At 39.9% G+C, this 22874-nt stretch overlaps 1 protein-coding gene across 4 annotated transcripts in view, besides 2 other annotated features; it reads left to right on the top strand.

The window, feature by feature from the left end:
- ATP10B (ATPase phospholipid transporting 10B (putative)) overlaps positions 1-22874 on the top strand; it is a 366241-nt gene that overhangs the window by 33870 nt on the left and 309497 nt on the right. The gene's annotated exons all lie outside the window — the stretch shown is intronic.
- Positions 21113-21690: an enhancer, noted in NCBI's record as "H3K27ac-H3K4me1 hESC enhancer chr5:160300808-160301385 (GRCh37/hg19 assembly coordinates)". NCBI's record gives its function as "activates a minimal SCP1, AML or CMV promoter by ChIP-STARR-seq in primed H9 embryonic stem cells {active_cell/tissue: H9 hESC(primed)}" and the evidence as "EXISTENCE:reporter gene assay evidence [ECO:0000049][PMID:30033119]".
- Positions 21691-22269: an enhancer, noted in NCBI's record as "H3K27ac-H3K4me1 hESC enhancer chr5:160300229-160300807 (GRCh37/hg19 assembly coordinates)". NCBI's record gives its function as "activates a minimal SCP1, AML or CMV promoter by ChIP-STARR-seq in primed H9 embryonic stem cells {active_cell/tissue: H9 hESC(primed)}" and the evidence as "EXISTENCE:reporter gene assay evidence [ECO:0000049][PMID:30033119]".

Below are 22874 nucleotides of genomic sequence, written 5' to 3'. Positions count from 1 at the left end.
TCTTGTTGCATTGATCCCTTTACCATTATGTAATGCCCTTGTCTTTTTTTGTCTTTGTTGGTTTAAAGTCTGTTTTATCAGAGACTGGGATTGCAACCCCTCATTTTTTTGCTTTCCTTTTGCTTGGTAAATATTTCTCCACCCCTTTATTTTGAGCCTATGTGTGTCTTTGCAGGTGAGATGGGTCTCCTGAATACAGCACGCTGATGGTTCCTCACTCTTTATCCAATTTGTCAGTCTGTGTCTTCTAATGGGGCATTTAGCCTGTTTATATTTAAGATTAATATTGTTATGTGTGAATTTGATCCTGTCATTATGATGCTAGCTGCTTATTTTATCCATGAGTTGACGCAGTTTCTTCATAATTTCGATGGTCTTTAAAATTTGGTATATTTTTGTAGTGGCTGGTACCGGTTGTTACTTTCCATGTTTAGTGCCTCCTTCAGGAGCTCTTGTAAGGCAGTCCTGGTAGTGACAAAATCTCTTAGCATTTGCTTGTCTGTAAAGGATTTTATTTCTCCTTCACTTATGAAGCTTAGTTTGACTGGATATGAAATTCTGGGATGACAATTCTTTTCCTTAAGAATGTTGAATATTGGCTCCCGCTTTCTTCTGGCTTGTAGTTTTTCTGCAGAGAGATCCACTGTTAGTCTGATGGGCTTCCCTTTGTGGGTAACCTGGCCTTTCTCTCTGGCTGCCCTTAACATTTTTTTCCTTCATTTCAACCTTGGTGAATCTGGCGATTATGCATCTTGGGGTTGCTCTTCTCGAGGAATATCTTTGTGGTGTTCTCAGTATTTCCTGAATTTGAATGTTGGCCTGTCTTGCTAGGTCAGGGAAGTTCTTCTGGTAATATCCTGAAGAGTGTTTTCCAACGTGGTTCCATTCTCCCCATCACTTTCAGGTGCACCAATCAAACATAGGTTTGGTCTTTTCACGTACTCCCATATTTCTTGGAGGCTTTGTTTGTTCCTTCTCATTCTTTTTTCTCTAATCTTGTCCTCACACTTTATTTCATTAAGTTGATATTCAGTCTCTGATATCCTTTCTTCTGCTTGATCGATTTGGCTATTGATACTTGTATATGCTTCACAAAGTTCTCGTGCTGTGTTTTTCAGCTCCATCAGGTCATTTGTATTCTTCTCTAAACTGGTTATTCTAGTTAGCAATTCATGTAACATTTTTTCAAGGTTCTTAGCTTCCTTGCATTGGGCTAGAACATGCTGCTTTAGCTCGGAGGAGTTTGTTATTACCCACCTTCTGAAGCCTGCTTCCAACAGGCTCATTCATCAAACTCATTCTCCAACCACTTTTGTTCCCTTGCTGGTGAGGAGTTGTGATCCTTTGGAGGAGAAGAGGCGCGTTCTGGTTTATGCAATTTTCAGCCTTTTTGTGCTGGTTTTTCTTCATCTTCGTGGATTTATCTACCTTTTGTCTTTGATGTTGGTGACCTTCAAATGGGGTTTTTGTGTGGACGTCCTTTTTATTGATGTTGATACTATTCCTTTCTGTTTGTTAGGTTTCCTTCTAAGAGTCAGCCCCCTCTGCTGCAGGTCTGCTGGAGCTTGCTGGAGGTCCACTCCAGACCCTGTTTGCCTGGGTATCACCAGTGGAGGCTGCAGAACAGCAAAGATTGCTGTGTGTTCTTCCTCTGGAAACTTCATCCAAGAGGGGCACCCGCCAGATGCCAGCCAGAGCTCTCCTGCATGAGGTGTCTGTCGACCCCTGCTGGGAGGTGTCTCCCAGTTAGGAGGCACGGGGATCAGTGACCCACTTGAGGAAGCAGTCTGTCCTGAGCAGAGCTGGAGCACTGTGCTGGGAGATCCACCGCTCTCTTCAGAGCTGGCAGGCAGGAATATTTAAGTCTTCTGAAGCTGCACCTGCAGCTGCCCCTTCCCCCAGGTGCTCTGTCCCAGGGAGAGAGTTTTATCTATAAGCTCTTGATTGGGGCTGCTGCCTTTCTTTCAGAGATGCCCTGCCCAGAGAGGAGGAATCTAGAGAGAAAGTCTGGCTACAGTGGCTATGCATCGCTGCAGTGGGTTCTCCCCAGTTCAAACTTCCCTGTGGCTTTGTTTACACTGGGAGGGGAAAACCTCCTACTCAAGCCTCAGTAATGGCATACACCCCTCCCCCCACCAAGCTCAAGCATCCCAGGTGGACTTCAGACTGCTGTGCTAGCAGCAAGAATTTCAAGCCAGTAGATCTTAGCTTGTTTGGCTCTGTAGGGGTGGGATCTGCTGAGCTAGACCACTGGCTCCATGGCTTCAGCCCCCTTTTCAGGGGAGTGAATGGTTCTGTCTCACGGGCATTCCAGGTGCCACTTGGGTATGAAAAAAAAACTCCTGCAGCTAGCTCAGTGTCTGCCCAAACGGCCTCCCAGTTTTGTGCTTGAAACCCAAGGCCCTGGTGGTGTAGGCACCCGAGGGAATCTCCTGGTCTGTGGGTTGTGAAGACTGTAGGAAAAGCAAAGTATCTGGGCTGGAGTGCACCGTTCATCATGGCACAGTCCCTCACAGCTTCCCTTGACTAGGGGAAGGAGTTCCCCATCTCCTTGCACTTCCCGGGTTACATGACATCTCACCCTGCTTTGGCTTGCCCTCTGTGGACTGCACCAACTGTCTAACTGGTCCCAGTGAGATAAGTCAGGTACCTCAGTTTGAAATGCAGAAATCACCCACCTTCTGAGTTGATCTTGCTGGGAGCTGCACACTGGATCTGTTCCTATTCATCCATCTTGCCAGCCATACCTGTATTGTCTCTTATTATCGTTTTTTACTTGCCTGTGGAATTGGAGATAAAGTAACTGGAGACAGTTTGGATACCAGGGATGGAAGACAAATCATGACTTTTTTCATTTGACAAAGGGGAGGTTTGTAGAAGGTTCTTTGTGTATAGGAAAAAGCAATACAAGGTTTTTGTGCTTAATGTAGTTCATAGTTTAGAAAGTGGGAACCTACCACAGCCAAGTAAACAAATAATCACTTTTTAAAGGAAAACAAAAATCATGCAGTGCCCCCAAAAATTATCTGTTTTAAATGTAAAGCATAAGGAATGGTCTGTCTGAATGGAGGCAATTCATTAATTTGAAAACAGAAGCCTGGGGACGTTTGGGGGACATAGTTCAAGGCCGTTCATCAGCTAATGCCAAGGACCTTAGTGGCAAGAAATTGAGGTCACCAGAACAGCAAGTCAGCATGGCTGGAGCAGGTGAAATTGGGAGAGGCCTGAGAATACAGCTGAAGGAAGAGGCAGGAGCCAGATCACGTGAATCCCAGGAGGCCTTGGAAGGAGCTTGGAGCTTGGGTTTTAGTCTAAATGCGATGAAAAGCCATAGGAAGGTTTAATCACCATCTGATCTGTTGAATATTGCAGCTTCTCACTAAAGAACATATAAAAGAAAAAAATCATTAATTTACTGACTGAAGCAAATAATTATGAATGTAATATTGTTTCTCTGCTATAGCGTCTTGGCTTGGAGAAAAATAACAAATGACTGTTTTATATTGAAGTGTGCTACCTGCCAGGCATAATTCTAGACCTCTTACCCATATTTCTCATTCACCTCTACAATACATGTAGTATTCCTACACTCATATAGATGGGAGCATTGACTCAGATTAAATAATTTCCCCATTTACAAAACTTCAAAAATAGCTCACCTAAGTAAATGAATAGAGTCAAGGAAAATGTCTTTTTCTATCAAAACTTTTCTTGCAACTTTTCACTGCAAGGGGTCATTTAAAACCTGTTTCTGGCTGGGCACAGTGGCTCACACCTGTAATCCCAGCACTTTGGGAGGCTGAGGCAGGTGGATCACTTGAGGCCAGGAGTTCAAGATTAGCCTGGCCAACATGGTGAAACCCCATCTCTACTTAAAATACAAAAATTACTCTAGCGTGGTGGCTCACGCCTATAGTCCCAGCACGAGAATCCCTTGAACCTGGGAGGTGGAGATTGCAGTGAGTTGAGACTGCGCCACTGCACTCCAGCCTGGGTGACGGAGCGAGACTCTGTCTCAAGAAAATAAATAAAAAATAAAACCTGTTTCCTCCATGGAGCTTACTGGTTTTTAGATAAAAAGCAGGTCATGCATTGGAAGGAGAAGGTCAGAGAGAATGAGGAAGGAGGTAAGAGGAAAATCACTGGGGGTGAAGGACACATACTGATGGGATTCTGAGGCAAGGGACCTACGATGTTCTCCCAGAGCATGATTAAACTTACTCTGCCACCTGGCAAAGTAGCATGAGGACAAGTTGTGGAGACCTGGCAGTCTGGTAACACAGAATGTTGGCAAAGAAGCAAACCTCAGCAACTGCAAACATAGGTAGCTGTTACACAAAAGGCCTCAAAAAGTTTAACAGAATTACAGTACAGAAAAAGTTAAACAGAGAACTACAGTACAATTCCACAGTTCCACTCCTTAGTATACATGCAAAAGAATTAAAAACAGTTATTCAAACGCACATACATACACACACACACACACACGCACACACATACACGTAAACAAATGGTCATAGCTGCACCACTCATAGTCATCAAAAAGTAAATGAAAACAGTCCAATTCAGCCTGGTCAACATAGTGAGACCTGTCTCTACAAAACATAAAAAACAATTGCCAGGCATGGCAGCATATGCCTGTAGCTCCAGCTACTCAGGAAGCTGGGAAGATCACTTGTACTCAGGAGTTAGAGGCTGCGGTGAGCTGTGATTGTGCCACTGCACTACAGCCTGGGCAACAGAGAAAGACCCTGGCTCTAAAAGATAAAAGAGAAAAAAAAATGAAAACAACTCAAATGGCCATCAGATGATGAATGGATAAACATAATATGGCATATCAGTACAATGGAATGTTGCTCGGCCATAAAAAGAAATAAAGTTCTGATGCCTGCTACAGAGAAAAGCAATTTCAGAAACATTGCTAAGTGAAAGCCAGACACAAAGAGCCACATGTTATATAATAGCACTTATAAAATATCCAGAATAGTCAAATCCAAAGAGACAGAAAGCAGCTGAGTGGTTGCCAGGGACTGGGCAAAGGGGAATAGGGAGTGACTGCTTAATGGGGAGGGTTTCTTTCTTTGGGATAAAAATGCTAAAACTAGATCAAGGTGATGGTTTCACAACATTGAAAATGTACTAAATGCCACGATTTGTACATGTTAAAATGGTTAATTTTAAGTCATGTGACTTTAGCTTCAATTACAAAAAAAACTCAGCAGGGTCATAAGAAGCACTTAGTCCATAAAGAACATCTTTAGATAATTTCTTTATTAATTCTACATATCTATGAAACTTCTATTAGATTACTTATTAGGATGGGCCAAATAATACATGGTCTCTGCCTTCATGGAGTTTACATTTTGATGGAAGAAACAGACATTAATCAAATAATAAGAATGCAAATTAAGGATGAGGCAAACACTCTGAAGGAAAAGCACCACATTGCCAGGAGGGAGTCAGGGAAGGCTTTCCCAGTGAAATGGCAAATGAATCTTCCAAAGAATTCACTAGGGAAGGGAGGAGGAGAGGGATCAAGATTCTATGTAGAAGGAAAAGCTTATGCAAAGGCCTCAGGGTAGGAGGTGTGACAGGAGATGTCAGGTTCTGAAGCAAAGCCTCTCTAGCTGGTTGTAGATATGAGAAGATGTTCAGCATAAGATGAGGCTGCCAGGAAAGGCAGCCTGGGTCCACGTCCTGAAGATCCCTGCAGGCCTATTCAGGATTTTGGTTCTAGTCTTTAAAAGAATAGGAGACACTCCCCAGTTTCCCCTCCCCATGTCTCTCCATTCCCTGCCCTGCATTTTCCATTCTCACATGTCTTTATTTACTGTATCCCACTACTTCTATGTAAGCTCCACGGGATAGATTCTTTGTGCCCACTGATGTGTCTTCAGTGCACAGCGTGCACTAGGTGCTCAAAGGCTTGTTGAATGAATTCATGGATTTCCATTTTGAAAATACCACTCAGGCTACAGTCTGAGGAACAAATTAGTTGGGAGTGAGAGAAGCAGCAGGACAGTCAGCTGATCAGTTCTTTGGGGAGTGGGAGGGGAAGAATTAGGTTTTGAGCAACTCCTTTTAATTACTACACATGGTCCACTGCCTGTGGATGGACAACAGCTGGTTCTTTTGCAAGAAGCAGGTCTTACCTTGAAGAGTAAAGACCCTCCTATCAGCTGGGCACTCTAGCCACCCGATTCAGACTGCCCTGGTAGAGGTTAAACCCTCGTATGTCAAAGGGTAAGGGGAACATCTATTCAATGAGGAATGTTGGAAGGCTGCGGGGTTGGCTGGCAGGTTAGTGTGGCTGTTGAGAGGGCATTGGGACCAATGTCCAAAGACCTGGACCCTACCAAGCCTCTGGTCATTTCACCATGAAACCTTATGGTCTCTCCCTGTATCTAGTTCCCCATCATATTAAGCATGTAAATGATGGGCTTGGTTTAGGTGGCTTATCCCCACCCTATTTTTTCCCCACAGTAGATTTTGTCTAATATTGTGACATTAACAATGTGAGTTTATTTAAGCCATTGTGACAAAAGGTTACTGCATTGAGTGTTATGACAAAACAATGTAAATTCAGCAACACTTTTAATGGATTCTTCAATATCCCCAGTAACATCTATATCTCAAAAATAGGTGTATAAATTGTAAAATCTGATATTCAATCTAGGCAGTGTTCTAGTGTTCATAGATTTTGGAGACCCTTGTTACCCATTTTGTGGCCTCATGAATTGTAGGTCATGTGGTTCTTAAACCACCGGAATGGAAAACATAAAAATCAGAATCCTAGGAACAAAGGAAGACAGAGCCAATTGCAGAAGGGAACATGGAATTGCTTCGCAGTCTACATGAATGTTTTGCTGCTTGCCTCTGCCTCCTCCCCTCTGCTTCTTGATTCCAGAGAGAAGAACGGTCCTTCTAGATTCAAGAAGCAGATTGTCTTATTTCCTGCCCAGATGAATTACTGTTTCACCAGCGGCAGACCCTGGGTGGCTTCTAGAATAGCTCAGAAAATGAGGAACATTTAGAGAAGCCGCCTAGACATCGAGAGACTTCTGATAGCTGCTTAATAAAGTTTATGAGAAGCAAAACTTCTGCATCTTTGAAGCAGAGAAGCCTCAGGTCTGAAAATTGGTGCTGCCTTCTCTCTTGGCCTCTGCTGCATTTTCAGGATTTTTTTAAAGAAATTTCTTTGTCAGAGGTGCTGATACTCTTTTCCCAAAGCTCATTAATTTCTCAGCATTATACATTTATTTTATCCTCTAATTAGGCATCACTTCTCACATATTTATGGTAGTGTATGCCCATGGGCCAGGATTACCCCTTCTTGTACAGAGGCCAGTCTACACTTTTGACCTGTGTAACAACTGCATGTGGAGGCAGGGCAAGAGCCACAGACCAAATGAGATTTATGACAGGCTCCTTTGTCCATATGCCTTTTATGCAATACATTAAACAAATATTTGAGCAATTACCATGTTGCACGTGTTGCTCTAGATGCCTGGGATTTTTGCAGTGAACCAAAGACAAAAATCTCTGCCTCCCAACGTAAGCAAACAATATCATAGGTTAGCAGTTGATAAGGGCCTCTTAGGAAAAAGAAGAGAGTTGGGTAAGAAAAGCTGGGAGTGCCAGAGGGTAGCAATAAGGTGGAGTGTGCTTGTACATAGGGTGTCCGGAAGTTGGCCCTTGACAAGGACCTGTATCAGGAAAAAGCCACACAGGTATCTTGGGGAAGAACAATCCAGACAGCAGGGACAGTGACTGAAAGACCCTCAGGAGGGTTTGTGATCCATGTATCCAAAGAATAGTCAGGAGGTCAACGTAGCTGGAGAAACATGAGTGAGGGGAGACACAGCAAGGTTGAGGTCAGAGAAGTAATGGAGCAAGATTGTGTAAGACTTTGCGGGCCTTTAAGGACTTGGGCTCTTACTGGGAGTGAAATGGGGGCCAATTGTGAGTTCTGGTCAGAGGAGTGATGAGGTCTCACTTGTGTTTTAGTCATTATATGCTTATATGGTCGGCCATCCATATCCATGGGTTCTGAACCTGTGTTTTCAAGCAACCATGGATATAAAATATCAGAAAACAAAATTTGTGTTGAAGAGGTACAGACATTTTTCTTGTAGTTATTCCCTAAACAATAATGTATAACAACTATTTATATAACATTTACATTGTATTAGGTATTATAAGTAATATAGAGATGATTTTAATTATATAGCAGGATATACATTGGTTATACACAAATAGTGTACCATTTTATATCAAGGACTTGAGCATCTCTGGATTTTGGTATCCAAAGGAGGTCCTAGGACCAATCCTCCACAGATACTGGAGGACAGCTGTATTTCCATTTGCCTCATAGCCTTAACAGCAATTGAAAATTCGTGCCTGGCTCAATTACATTAGAGTTTGCAAAATGCTTTTCATAATTCTGTCACTCATTCTATAGTTATCAGCTGACATTTCCTTGTGAAACAGAGCCTTCTCTCATCAATTTTGGGTATTTGATTACCCAGGAATACATTTCCTGCTGGAGGGTAAAAATAAATGCTTAGGTTTTTCCCTTTAATGGAGCATTTTCAAGGAAAGTATTTCTTTTAATAGTCACCTCACATAGCATCAAATGTGCCTTGTGCTTTACAGGGACTCTCCCATAGTCTCTATCTTATATGGTTCGTTCTTGTTGCCTGGAATGAAATTATGGCATGGACCATTGCCCTGAGTTAGCTGTCATCTTTTAGAGGTTCTTTTTGCATTGTGCATTCATGATTTCTAGGAAGGAAAAGGACCACTCTGGAAGAAGGGATGTTAATTCTTCCCTAGATTTGTTGGTCAGATCAGCCAATTCTTGCGTCTAGATCCTAAAGGGCAGCCTTGATAGTGTCATCACTCCATGAGCTTCATTATTTAAAGCTAAACCCAAATGACCTTGCCGGGTTTTTAAGGCTCTGTGAAATCTGTGCCCAGATGGGCTTTAACTTCTTGATTATTTCCCTGTTACTTCCCCTCACCAATACAAACACACACATAGCCCCTCTAAGCTATCCAGGGCCTCAAAACACACTCTACTTTATTCCACCTCCAAATGTTGTCTATGGTAAAATTATCCCGAGATGCTTTTCTCCAGTTATCTGTACCTGTTTAGTTTTATCTTTCAAGTCCTCCATCAAATGTTCCTTTCTTGATCTCCACCCTAAATAACCCCAAGGTTGAAATCCAATTCCATTTTCTCTGTGCACCCATGTCATTTTGCCTTATCCACCTCTCACTTTGTTTCTCATGTCCTTGCTTGTATAAAACTTGTGTTTGTGGCAACCACAGCCATGGGTTTACAAAACAGGAGATGTTGCCTTGATTTCTAAAAATTCCCCCGATGGCTAAAAGTAGCGTCTGTTTCCTGGTAGGTGCTCAAACATTCATGGAAAAGAATCTGATTCTTCGGTGATTTTCAAATTTCTACTGTCATTTACACATTTAACCAATATATATTGATCACCTATTGTTTCTCAAAAAGTGGTTACTGTGGAGGATACAAAAATGAATCAAGAAGCAGATCCTGACTTCTGGAAGAGTAATTTAGGAGCAAGAGGACGTGTATCTAAGTTACTACAGCACAAAGTAGGAAATGCAAAAAGCTAGAAAATCAAGAACAATGGGTTAAATTCACTCTGGCATTTCTCTTTGCTCTGCTACAGATATTTTCTTCAATAGCTTATGATTTATCCCATCAACTAGGATGAAAACAACTTTCATAAGGCACAAGGGATTTTCTCTTGTCCCTAGAAGAGCTTTCAGTGTCATGCTGATGCCCGTCTTGAGCAGAGAGCAAAGACAGACTCATTCTATGCCATGTTTTTTCTCTCTCATTAATTCAGGCTGAGTTCCCACTCAAAATGGGATTTAATAACTTTCCTTTCCATCAGCAACAAAGACTCCTATTTTCATGATTTCTGTAAGTTAGGAATCAATACATTTGATCCTGGGGTTTTGCCAAGGTGTCTTCCTCTGACTTGCCTGCAAAGTTATTTCTGGGTCCATTGTTTACATGGGCTTATCAGCCATGCAAATACATCTGGGGAGAAGACACTCACTCACTGAGGAACCACTTTTTCTCTAGTTTTCTGCTGGTTCAGCCTTCACATTCCCCATCTGGGCCATGCAGGGTGCTGCCTTCCTTCTTAGAATCACAGTGTGCTCCTTGCATCCGCTTCCCTTATTAAAACAGGAGAGCTGAGAACAATCAGAGCTCTGCAATTCTCCCTCTCAGCTCATCAGTTTTCTCTGTTTACTTATTCATTCACTTATGTATTCATTTATTCAACAAATACTGATTAATCACCTCCCTTTTTATATACTCTGCCTATTCCCAAAAGGATCAGAGGTGGCTTGTGGGATCAAACATAATGCAAAACAGGGTAGCCAGGGATAAAAACAGAAAGGAAGGAGGAGGCCTTGCCACCAGTTCCAACGGTGATTGGAATTTGGCCCTGGCTCTATTGCAGCAAAAGAGAGATTTGTTGGATTCCTGGGTTTTTCTTTCTGCCCAACCAAAACATGCAAATTTGTGGACAGAATATAACTTTTTCCTGCAATTAAACATCCAGTAGAGTGCTTTGTTCTTGTACTCAAATGCCTTTGGAATAAATGAATTAATTCACTGTTTCTCAAATTTTAGACATTTGTGTGCCACCTTTCAAATGTTTGCTTAAATGTATGACTGCTATTTATTTTTTACTTTTCTTTAAATTAACTTTTCACTTAAATTTTTTAAAAATATTTTTTCCATAAATGGAATACTTATATCAATTGCCATAATGAAAAAGTAATGATAAAAATAAATATAAATAACATTTCACTCTAAATAAATAATGACGCCTGCCTAAAACTCTGAGCTGTGGTATCTCCCACAGGGAGATTAGGGAGATTAGAGCATGTTATATGTTTAAATCATGCTAGCATCAGGCTGAGATAGCCAGTTCTTTTGATTATACTAAAGGAAACTTAAAAAGAAAAATTATCACTATAGACATAAATATGATATTATTTTTAATTATCATCCTACATCATTTCATACTACCTAACATCTTTATACATCTTTATACATGTCAGTCCCCTTCTTGGAAAATACTGATCAATTAACTGAAGCTGATTTTGGTGAGATACAATTTCCTCCTACCTGGAAGATGTGAAAACTCTTTGACTCTTACACACATTGGGTTTATTTCAACAAGTACAACATTAAGCCACCTAATCTACTCCCTTTGTAATTCACAAAAGACTGTTACAAGATGGTTGGCTCCAGAAAAGAGTGTGTGTGTGTCTGTGTGAGGAGGGTAACAGTCCCAATGAGATTTTGGCAGGCTTGCTAAAGTAGCAACAGTGAATTATACTTATTTAACAATATTATGTTGCTTATAAACAATATGCTGTAGAGAAAAATGTACAATTCGTTCATTTGAAGAGTGCTAACAATTCAAAACTGTTTTCCTTCACTTATTACATGTCTCAGTTTCAAGATGCTGAGATTTCCTGATAGAGTCTTAAGGGAAAAGAAAAGTAGCACTAATTACTTAAAAGACATTTAGTTCACTGATTGTTGAACTGTACAAACACTAAAATAATGTACGAAAGCAGCCATAATGACTCAAACTCTTAATAACTTAATGTAAAGTCCACGGAATACTTTTGTTAACACTCTTTAAACTCCTTTAATCTATAGTTTCCTTTTCTTTTTGCGTGTGTTTTGATAATTTGGAAGGCTTACACTTCTGCTCTAGCAATAATTTTATTACTCTAGTAATTATCATTTCACTAATTCTTTAAACAGTATCTATCAACTTTCTGTTATAAACGTGATAAACTAAGGCATGTTCTCTTTTCCCCTTTACCACCCAAATCAGTTTACAGTATTACTGCTAATGTTACTTTTGTTATACTTCTAGTGCTTCTAGTGCTTAATTTACTATTCTCAGCCATAAAAATGTGAAAAAAATCACTACACACCACCTGCCCTTATTTATCCCTCTCCTCCTTCCAACCTTTTTCAGGGTTAATAAAACTCATATTCTACCCTGAAACCATTATCCATACATGACATTTAGTCTCAGCCCTGTAGTTAAAGTGATTCTGTCCTCACCACAGGTCTTTTTTGCTATAATTTTTGTAACCATATACAGATGGGCTGAAGTTTTCATTCAATAGATTCTTCAATAAAGACTCTTGGGAACAGTATTTCCTACATTCTTGCATGTTCAAAAATGTTTCTCTGTTGCCTTTATATGCAAGTGATGTTTGGTTGGGTATGAGATTCTTAAGCGATGTTTTCTATTCCTGAGTATTTAGTAAGTAATGCATTTCCTGAAACTATTTACCTACTTTATCAGGACTTGAACTGTCATCCCTTAAAACTTGCTTTTCCCATTCCTATATTTGATGTTTACTATATTTATCCTAGTTTTTAGTTTTCTTTCTATGGCTTTTCATTTTAGATTTATTTTTGTGTTGGCTTCAGTTTTATATTTCATTTTTTTTGGCAGACCAACCAATTCTATTTTTTCTTCTGCATTCTTACAAATTTCCCTAGGTTTTAGAATTCTGACTTGATATCTGGTTTTATGGTGATTGCTTCATTTGGTGGCTTAGTTGTGTTGTGTGAACAATGAAACCTTGGTCACAATTTTATCTCCTCCATAGCCATATATTTTTGAGTGTTCATTATTCTTAACTTGTTTTTTCTCTTCCATTCCTCCATACCATTTTTCTTTACGGTATTTACCTGTTAAATTGACAAATTTTATGACATTTCCTTTGTGATTACTCATCTTTGAATAAGACTTCTTGTTTTCAGGAGGGTTTTATAAAGAAGAAATCATGACTTTTTTATGAATTTATTTTTTAACCCCAGGCACAATGGCCACACTTATTATCTCAGCAATTTGGGAGGCTGAGGCAGAAGGATCACTTGAGGCCAGGAGTTTAAGACCAGGCTAGGCAACATGGCCAGACCCCATCTCTACAAAAAAAATAAAATTTTTAAATTTAAAAATAATGTATTTTCTTAGAACAATCTTAAGTTCACAGCAAAGTTGAGAGGAAGATGCAGAGACTTCCTACATATCCCATCCCCTACACATGCCTGGCCTCTCCCATTATCAACATCCCCCACCAGAATGGCATATTTGTTAAAATTGAAGAATCTACACTGACACGTCTTAAGTATCCCAACTCTACGTTTTACATTAGGATTTGCTCTTGGTATTGTACTTTCTTTGTGTTTGGACAAATATATAATGATATGTATCTATCATTATAGTATCACAAAAAACATTTTCACTGTCCTAGAAATTCTCTGTGGCCTACCTGTTCATTCCTTGCCTCCTCCTCCCCCTTCCAATGGCAACCACTGATATTTTATTGTCTCCAGAGTTTTACCTTTTCTGGAATATTATACAGTTTGTAGCCTCTTTAGATTGGCTTCTTTAACTTAGTAATATGCATTTAAGGTTACTCTGTATTTTCATGGCCTGATCACTAACTTTTTTAGCATTAAATAATATTTCATTGTGTACATGTACCACAGTTTATTTATCCATTCACTTATAGAAGGAAATCTTGGTTGCGTCCAACTTTTGGCAATTATTATTATTGTTTTATTTATTTATTCATTTTAAGATGGAGTCTTGCTCTGTCACCCAGGCTGGAGTGCAGTGGCGCCATCTCCTCTCACTGCAAGCTCCACCTCCCGCTTTCACACCATTCTCCTGCCTCAGCCTCCCAAGTAGCTGGGACTACAGGCGCCCACCCCACGCCCGGATAATTTTTTATATTTTTAGTAGAGATGGGGTTTCACCGTGTTAGCCAGGATGGTCTAGATCTCCTGACCTCGTGATCCACCCGCCTCGGCCTCCCAAAGTGCTGGGATTACAGGTGTGAGCCACCACGCCCGGCCGAAATTTTGGCAATTATTAATAAAGCTACTATAAATATCTGTGTGCCGGTTTTTGTATAGATAAAAGTTTTAAATCCCTTTGGATAAATACCAAGAAGCACAATTGTTGGATTATATGGTAATAGTATGTTTAGTTTTGTAAGATATCACCAAACTGTCTTCTTAAGCAGCTGTGCCATTTTACATTTCCACCAGTAGTGAAGGAGAGTTTCTCTTATTCCCCATTCTTGTTAGCATTTGGTGTTGTCATTCAATGGATTTTGATAATTCTAATAGGTGTGTCGTGGTATCCTGTTGTTGTTTTAGTTTGCATTTTCCTGATGCCATTTAATGTGAAAAAATAAACATTTTTTCATATGCTTATTTGCCCTCTGTACATCTTCTTTGGTAAAGTGTATTAAGATCTTTTGTCCATTTGTTAAATGGCTTGCTTGCTTTCTTGTTGATTTTTAAGAATTCTATGTATATTTTGGGTAATAGTCTTTATCATACATTTCTTGTGTAAATATTTCCTCCCAGTCTATGTCTTGTCTTCTCATTCTCTTGATGTTGTCTTTCGGAGAGCAGAAGTTTTTAATTTTAATAAAGTCTAGCTTATCAATTACTTCTTTCATGGAGTGTGCCTTTAGTGTTTCATCTAGAAAGTCATCACCATACCTGGGGTCATCTAGGTTTTCTCCTACATTTTCTAGGATTTTTATAGTTTTGTATTTTATATTTAGGTCTCTAATCCATTTTGATTTAATCTTTGTGAAAGATGTAAGATCTGTGCCTAGATTTTTTTTGGCATGTGAATGTCCAGTTGTTCCAGCACCATTTCTTGAAAAGACAGTCTTTGTTCCATTGTATTATATTTGCTCATTTGTCAAAGATCAGCTGATTGTATATATACATGGGTCTTATGTGGTTCTATTTCTGGTCTCTCCACTCTGTGCTGTTGATCTATTTCTCAATTATTTTACCAGTACCACATTGTCTTGATTACTGTAGCTTTAAAGTAAGTCTTGAAGTTGCATGTCAGTTCTCCCACCTTGTTCTTCCATATTCTGTTGTCTATTCTGCATCTGTTTCCTCTCCACGTAAACTTAGTTTGTTGATAGCCACAAAAGAACTTCTCGGAATTTTGAATGGGATTGTATTGAACCTATAGATCAAGTTTGGAAGAACTGATATCTTGACACATTGAGTTTTCCTACCCATGAAATATCTCTTCATTTATTTGATTTTTCCTTTGATTTCTTTCATCATAGTTTCTTTTATATTATATAATTTATTTATATATAATATATAAAAATATTTATATTTTATTTATATTTTATATATTATATAATCTATATATAAAAATATTTACATTATATATTTTTATTTATATTTTATATATATTATGTAATCTATTATATAATTTCTTTTACATAATTTCTTTTATAATAGTTTCTCACATAGATGATATATTCTATGTGATTTATACACATAGATTATTAGATTTATATTAGATTTATACAGAAGAATTTCATTTTTAGGAGTACTAATATATACATGGTGTTTGCTGTGTTTTGAATTTCAAATTCCACTTGACTATTGTTGGTATATACAAAGCAATTGGCATTTGTATGTTAACTTCGTATCCTGAAACCTTGATACAATCACTTATTAGTTCCAGAAGTTGTCTATTCTTTGTTTGTTTGTTTGTTTTTGGATGGAGTCTTGCTCTGTCGCCCAGGCTGGAGTGCAGTGGCGCCATCTCGGCTCACTACAAGCTCCACCTCCTGGGTTCACGCCATTCCCCTGCCTCAGCCTCCCAAGTAGCTGGGACTACAGGCGCCCGCTACCACGCCCGGCTAATTTTTTGTATTTTTGGTAAAGACAGGATTTCACTATGTTGGCCAGGATGGTCTCCATCTCTTGACCTCACCGTCCACCCACCTTGGCCTCCCAAAGTGTGGGATTACAGGCGAGAGCCACCGCGCCTGGCCGTGGTTTTTTTTTTTTTTTTAATTTTACTTTAAGTTTTAGGGTACATGTGCACATTGTGCAGGTTAGTTACATACGTATACATGTGCCATGCTGGTGCGCTGCACCCACTAACTCGTCATCTAGCATTAGGTATATCTCCCAATGCTATCCCTCCCCCCTCCCCCCACCCCACCACAGTCCCCAGAGTGTGATATTCCCCTTCCTGTGTCCATGTGATCTCATTGTTCAATTCCCACCTATGAGTGAGAATATGTGGTGTTTGGTTTTTTGTTCTTGCGATAGTTTACTGAGAATGATGATTTCCAATTTCATCCATGTCCCTACAAAGGACATGAACTCATCATTTTTTATGGCTGCATAGTATTCCATGGTGTATATGTGCCACATTTTCTTAATCCAGTCTATCATTGTTGGACATTTGGGTTGGTTCCAAGTCTTTGCTATTGTGAATAATGCCACAATAAACATACGTGTGCATGTGTCTTTATAGCAGCATGATTTATAGTCCTTTGGGTATATACCCAGTAATGGGATGGCTGGGTCAAATGGTATTTCTAGTTCTAGATCCCTGAGGAATCGCCACACTGACTTCCACAATGGTTGAACTAGTTTACAGTCCCACCAACAGTGTAAAAGTGTGCCTATTTCTCCACATCCTCTCCAGCACCTGTTGTTTCCTGACTTTTTAATGATTGCCATTCTAACTGGTGTGAGATGGTATCTCATTGTGGTTTTGATTTGCATTTCTCTGATGGCCAGTGATGATGAGCATTTCTTCATGTGTTTTTTGGCTGCATAAATGTCTTGTTTTGAGAAGTGTCTGTTCATGTCCTTCGCCCACTTTTTGATGGGGTTGTTTGTTTTGTTCTTGTAAATTTGTTTGAGTTCATTGTAGATTGTGGATATTAGCCCTTTGTCAGATGAGTAGGTTGTGAAAATTTTCTCCCATTTTGTAGGTTGCCTGTTCGCTCTGACGGTAGTTTCTTTTGCTGTGCAGAAGCTCTTTAGTTTAATTAGATCCCATTTGTCAATTTTGTCTTCTGTTGCCATTGCTTTTGGTGTTTTGGACATGAAGTGTCCTTGCCCATGCCTATGTCCTGAATGGTAATGCCTAGGTTTTCTTCTAGGGTTTTTATGGTTTTAGGTCTAACGTTTAAGTCTTTAATCCATCTTGAATTGATTTTTGTATAAGGTGTAAGGAAGGGATCCAGTTTCAGCTTTCTACTTATGGCTAGCCAGTTTTCCCAGCACCATTTATTAAATAGGGAATCCTTTCCCCATTGCTTGTTTTTCTCAGGTTTGTCAAAGATCAGATAGTTGTAGATATGTGGCATTATTTCTGAGGGCTCTGTTCTGTTCCATTGATCTATATCTCTGTTTTGGTACCAGTACCATGCTGTTTTGGTTACTGTAGCCTTGTAGTATAGTTTGAAGTCAGGTAGTGTGATGCCTCCAGCTTTGTTCTTTTGGCTTAGGATTGACTTGGCAATGTGGGCTCTTTTTTGGTTCCATATGAACTTTAAAGTAGTTTTCTCCAATTCTGTGAAGAAAATCATTGGTAGCTTGATGGGGATGGCATTGAATCTATAAATTACCTTGGGCAGTATGGCCATTTTCACGATATTGATTCTTCCTACCCATGAGCATGGAATGTTCTTCCATTTGTTTGTTTCCTCTTTTATTTCATTGAGCTGTGGTTTGTAGTTACTGAAGAGGTCCTTCATGTCCCTTGTAAGTTGGATTCCTAGGTATTTTATTCTCTTTGAAGCAATTGTGAATGGGAGTTCACTCATGATTTGGCTCTCTGTTTGTCTGTTATTGGTGTATAAGAATGCTTGTGATTTTTGTACATTGATTTTGTATCCTGAGACTTTGCTGAAGTTACTTATCAGCTTAAGGAGATTTTGGGCTGAGACAATGGGGTTTTCTAGATATACAATCATGTCATCTGCAAACAGGGACAATTTGATTTCCTCTTTTCCTAATTGAATACCCTTTATTTCCTTCTCCTGCCTGATTGCCCTGGCCAGAACTTCCAACACTATGTTGAATAGGAGTTGTGAGAGAGGGCATCCCTGTCTTGTGCCAGTTTTCAAAGGGAATGCTTCCAGTTTTTGCCCATTCAGTATGATATTGGCTGTGGGTTTGTCATAGATAGCTCTTATTATTTTGAAATATGTCCCATCAATACCTAATTTATTGAGAGTTTTTAGCATGAAGGGTTGTTGAATTTTGTCAAAGGCTTTTTCTGCATCTATTGAGATAATCATGTGGTTTTTGTCTTTGGCTCTGTTTATATGCTGGATTACATTTATTGATTTGTGTATATTGAACCAGCCTTGCATCCTAGGGATGAAGCCCACTTGATCATGGTGGATAAGCTTTTTGATATGCAGCTGGATTCGTTTTGCCAGTATTTTATTGAGGATTTTTGCATCAATGTTCATCAAGGATATTGGTCTAAAATTCTCTTTTTTGGTTGTCTCTGTCCGGCTTTGGTATCAGAATGATGCTGGCCTCATAAAATGAGTTAGGGGAGGATTCCCTCTTTTTCTGTTGATTGGAATAGTTTCAGAAGGAATGGTACCAGTTCTTCCTTGTACCTCTGGTAGAATTCGGCTGTGAATCCATCTGGTCCTGGACTCTTTTTGGTTGGTAAACTATTGATTATTGCCACAATTTCAGCTCCTGTTATTGGTCTATTCAGAGATTCAACTTCTTCCTGGTTTAGTCTTGGGAGAGTGTATGTGTCCAGGAATTTATCCATTTCTTCTAGATTTTCTAGTTTATTTGCGTAGAGGTGTTTGTAGTATTCTCTGATGGTAGTTTGTATTTCTGTGGGATTGGTGGTGATATCCCCTTTATCATTTTTTATTGTGTCTATTTGATTCTACTCTCTTTTTTCTTTATTAGTCTTGCTAGCAGTCTATCAATTTTGTTGATCCTTTCAAAAAACCAGCTTCTGGATTCATTAATTTTTTGAAGGGTTTTGTGTGTCTCTATTTCCTTCAGTTCTGCTCTGATTTTAGTTATTTCTTGCCTTCTGCTAGCTTTTGAATGTGTTTGCTCTTGCTTTTCTAGTTCTTTTAATTGTGATATTAGGGTGTCAATTTTGGATGTTTCCTGCTTTCTCTTGTGGGCATTTAGTGCTATAAATTTCCCTCTACACACTGCTTTGAATGTGTCCCAGAGATCCTGGTATGTTGTGTCTTTGTTCTCGTTGGTTTCAAAGAACATCTTTATTTCTGCCTTCATTTCGTTATGTACCCAGTAGTCATTCAGGAGCAGGTTGTTCAGTTTCCATGTAGTTGAGTGGTTTTGAGTGAGATTCTTAATCCTGAGTTCTAGTTTGATTGCACTGTGGTCTGAGAGATAGTTTGTTATAATCTCTGTTCTTTTACATTTGCTGAGGAGAGCTTTACTTCCAAGTATGTGGTCAATTTTGGAATAGGTGTGGTGTGGTGCTGAAAAAAATGTATATTCTGTTGATTTGGGGTGGAGAGTTCTGGAGATGTCTATTAGGTCGGCTTGGTGCAGAGGTGAGTTCAATTCCTGGATATCCTTGTTGACTTTCTGTCTCATTGATCTGTCTAATGTTGACAGTGGGGTGTTAAAGTCTCCCATTATTAATGTGTGGGAGTCTAAGTCTCTTTGTAGGTCACTCAGGACTTGCTTTATGAATCTGGGTGCTCCTGTATTGGGTGCATATATATTTAGGATAGTTAGCTCTTCTTGTTGAATTGATCCCTTTACCATTAGGTAATGGCCTTCTTTGTCTCTTTTGATCTTTGTTGGTTTAAAGTCTGTTTTATCCGAGACTAGGATTGCAACCCCTGCCTTTTTTTGTTTTCCATTTGCTTGGTAGATCTTCCTCCATCCTTTTATTTTGAGCCTATGTGTGTCTCTGCACATGAGATGGGTTTCCTGAATACAGCACACTGATGGGTCTTGACTCTTTATCCAATTTGCCAGTCTGTGTCTTTTAATTGGAGCATTTAGTCCATTTACCTTTAAAGTTAATATTGTTATGTGTGAATTTGATCCTGTCATTATGATGTTAGCTGGTGATTTTGCTCGTTAGTTGATGCAGTTTCTTCCTAGTCTCGATGGTCATTACATTTTGGCATGATTTTGCAGTGGCTGGTACTGGTTGTTCCTTTCCATGTTTAGCGCTTCCTTCAGGAGCTCTTTTAGAGCAGGCCTGGTGGTGACAAAATCTCTCAGCATTTGCTTGTCTGTAAAGTATTTTATTTCTCCTTCACTTATGAAGCTTAGTTTGGCTGGATATGAAATTCTGGGTTGAAAATTATTTTCTTTAAGAATGTTGAATATTGGCCCCCACTCTCTTCTGGCTTGTAGGGTTTCTGCCAAGAGATCCGCTGTTAGTGTGATGGGCTTCCCTTTGAGGGTAACCCGACCTTTCTCTCTGGCTGCCCTTAACATTTTTTCCTTCATTTCAACTTTGGTGAATCTGACAATTATGTGTCTTGGAGTTGCTCTTCTCGAGGAGTATCTTTGTGGCATTCTCTGTATTTCCTGAATCTGAACGTTGGCCTGCCTTGCTAGATTGGGGAAGTTCTCCTGGATAATATCCTGCAGAGTGTTTTCCAACTTGGTTCCATTCTCCCCATCACTTTCAGGTACACCAATCAGATGTAGATTTGGTCTTTTCACATAGTCCCATATTTCTTGGAGGCTTTGCTCATTTCTTTTTATTCTTTTTTCTCTAAACTTCCCTTCTCACTTCATTTCATTCATTTCATCTTCCATTGCTGATACCCTTTCTTCCAGTTGATCGCATCGGCTCCTGAGGCTTCTGCATTCTTCACGTAGTTCTGGAGCCTTGGTTTTCAGCTCCATCAGCTCCTTTAAGCGCTTCTCTGTATTGATTATTCTAGTTATACATTCTTCTACATTTTTTTCAAAGTTTTCAACTTCTTTGCCTTTGGTTTGAATGTCCTCCTGTAGCTCAGAGTAATTTGATCATCTGAAGCCTTCTTCTCTCAGCTCGTCAAAGTCATTCTCCATCCAGCTTTGGTCCGTTGCTGATGAGGAACTGTGTTCCTTTGGAGGAGGAGAGGCACTCTGCGTTTTAGAGTTTCCAGTTTTTCTGTTCTGTTTTTTCCCCATCTTTGTGGTTTTATCTACTTTTGGTCTTTGACGATGGTGATGTACAGATGAGTTTTTGGTGTGGATGTCCTTTCTGTTTGTTAGTTTTCCTTCTAACAGACAGGACCCTCAGCTGCAGGTCTGTTGGAATACCCTGCCGTGTGAGGTGTCAGTGTACCCTCCTGGGGGGTGCCTCCCAGTTAGCCTGCTCAGGGGTCAGGGGTCAGGGACCCACTTGAGGAGGCAGTCTGCCCGTTCTCAGATCTCCAGCTGCGTGCTGGGAGAACCACTGCTCTCTTCAAAGCTGTCAGACAGGGACATTTAAGTCTGCAGAGGTTACTGCTGTCTTTTTGTTTGTCTGTGCCCTGCCCCCAGTGGTGGAGCCTACAGAGGCAGGCAGGCCTCCTTGAGCTGTGGTGGGCTCCACCCAGTTCGAACTTCTGGGCTGCTTTGTTTACCTAAGCAAGCCTGGGCAATGGCAGGCGCCCCTCCCCCAGCCTGGCTGCCGCCTTGCAGTTTGATCTCAGACTGCTGTGCTAGCAATCAGCGAGACTCCGTGGGTGTAGGACCCTCCGAGCCAGGTGTGGGATATAATCTCGTGGTGCACCATTTTTTAAGCAGGTCTGAAAAGCGCAATATTCAGGTGGGAGTGACCCAATTTTCCTGGTGCCGTCTGTCACCCCTTTCTTTGACTCGGAAAGGGACCTCCCTGACCCCTTGCACTTCCCAAGTGAGGCAGTGCCTCGCCCTGCTTTGGCTCGCGCACAGTGCGTGCACCCACTGACCTGCGTCCACTGTCTGGCACTCCCTAGTGAGATGAACCCGGTACCTCAGATGGAAATGCAGAAATCACCCGTCTTCTGTGTCGCTCACGCTGGGAGCTGTAGACCGGAGCTGTTCCTATTCGGCCAACTTGGCTCCTCGAGAGCCTGGCCATGTTTTTGTCTATTCTTAAAGATTTTCTACAGAGACAATCATGTCATCTGTGAACAAATACTATTATATTTCTTTCTTCCTAACCTGTGTACCTTTTATTATGTTGTCTTTATTGCATTAGCTAGGACTTCTACTATGATATTGAAATGGATTAGTGAAATGGAATAACCTTGCCTTGTTCCTGATGTTAATGAGAAATTTTGAGTTTCACCGTGAAGAATGATGTTAACCATAGGTTTTTGTGGATATTCTTCATCAAGTTGAGGAAGTTCTCCTCTGTTTCTAATTTACTAAAACAATTCTAAAATTCATATGAAACCAAAACAAGAGACCGCAGAGAATCAGATCAAGAACTCAAACTGTTTTATAATAGCTGAAAAAAAAAAAACAAAAAAAACCTTAGGAATATACCTAACCAAAGAGACAAAAGACCGCTACAAGAAAAACTACAAAACACTGCTGAAAGAAATCATAGATGACACAAACAAATGGAAACACATCTCGTGCTCATGGATGGGTAGAACCAATATTGTGAAAATGAACATACCACCAAAAGCAATTTAGAAATTCAATGCAATCCCCATCAAAATACCACCGTCGTTCTTCACAGAGTAGAAAAAACAATTCTAAAATTCATATGAAACCAAAACAAAAGACCGCATAGTCAAAGCAAGACAAAGCAAAAAACAAATCTGTAGGCATCACATTACCTGATATCAAACTATACTCTAAGGCCGTAGTCACCAAAACAGCATAATACTGGTATAAAAATAGGCACATAGGCCAATGGAAAAGAATAGAGAACGCTGAAATAAACCAAAATACTTACAGCCAACTGATCTTCGACAAAGCAAACAAAAACATAAAATGAGGAAATGACACCTTTTTCAACAAA

This window comes from Homo sapiens, chromosome 5 (assembly GCF_000001405.40).
Source record: "Homo sapiens chromosome 5, GRCh38.p14 Primary Assembly".
Taxonomy (NCBI): domain Eukaryota; kingdom Metazoa; phylum Chordata; class Mammalia; order Primates; family Hominidae; genus Homo; species Homo sapiens.
The sequence above is the reverse complement of the archived record's forward strand: the minus strand, read 5'-3'. Positions and strand labels throughout refer to the sequence as shown.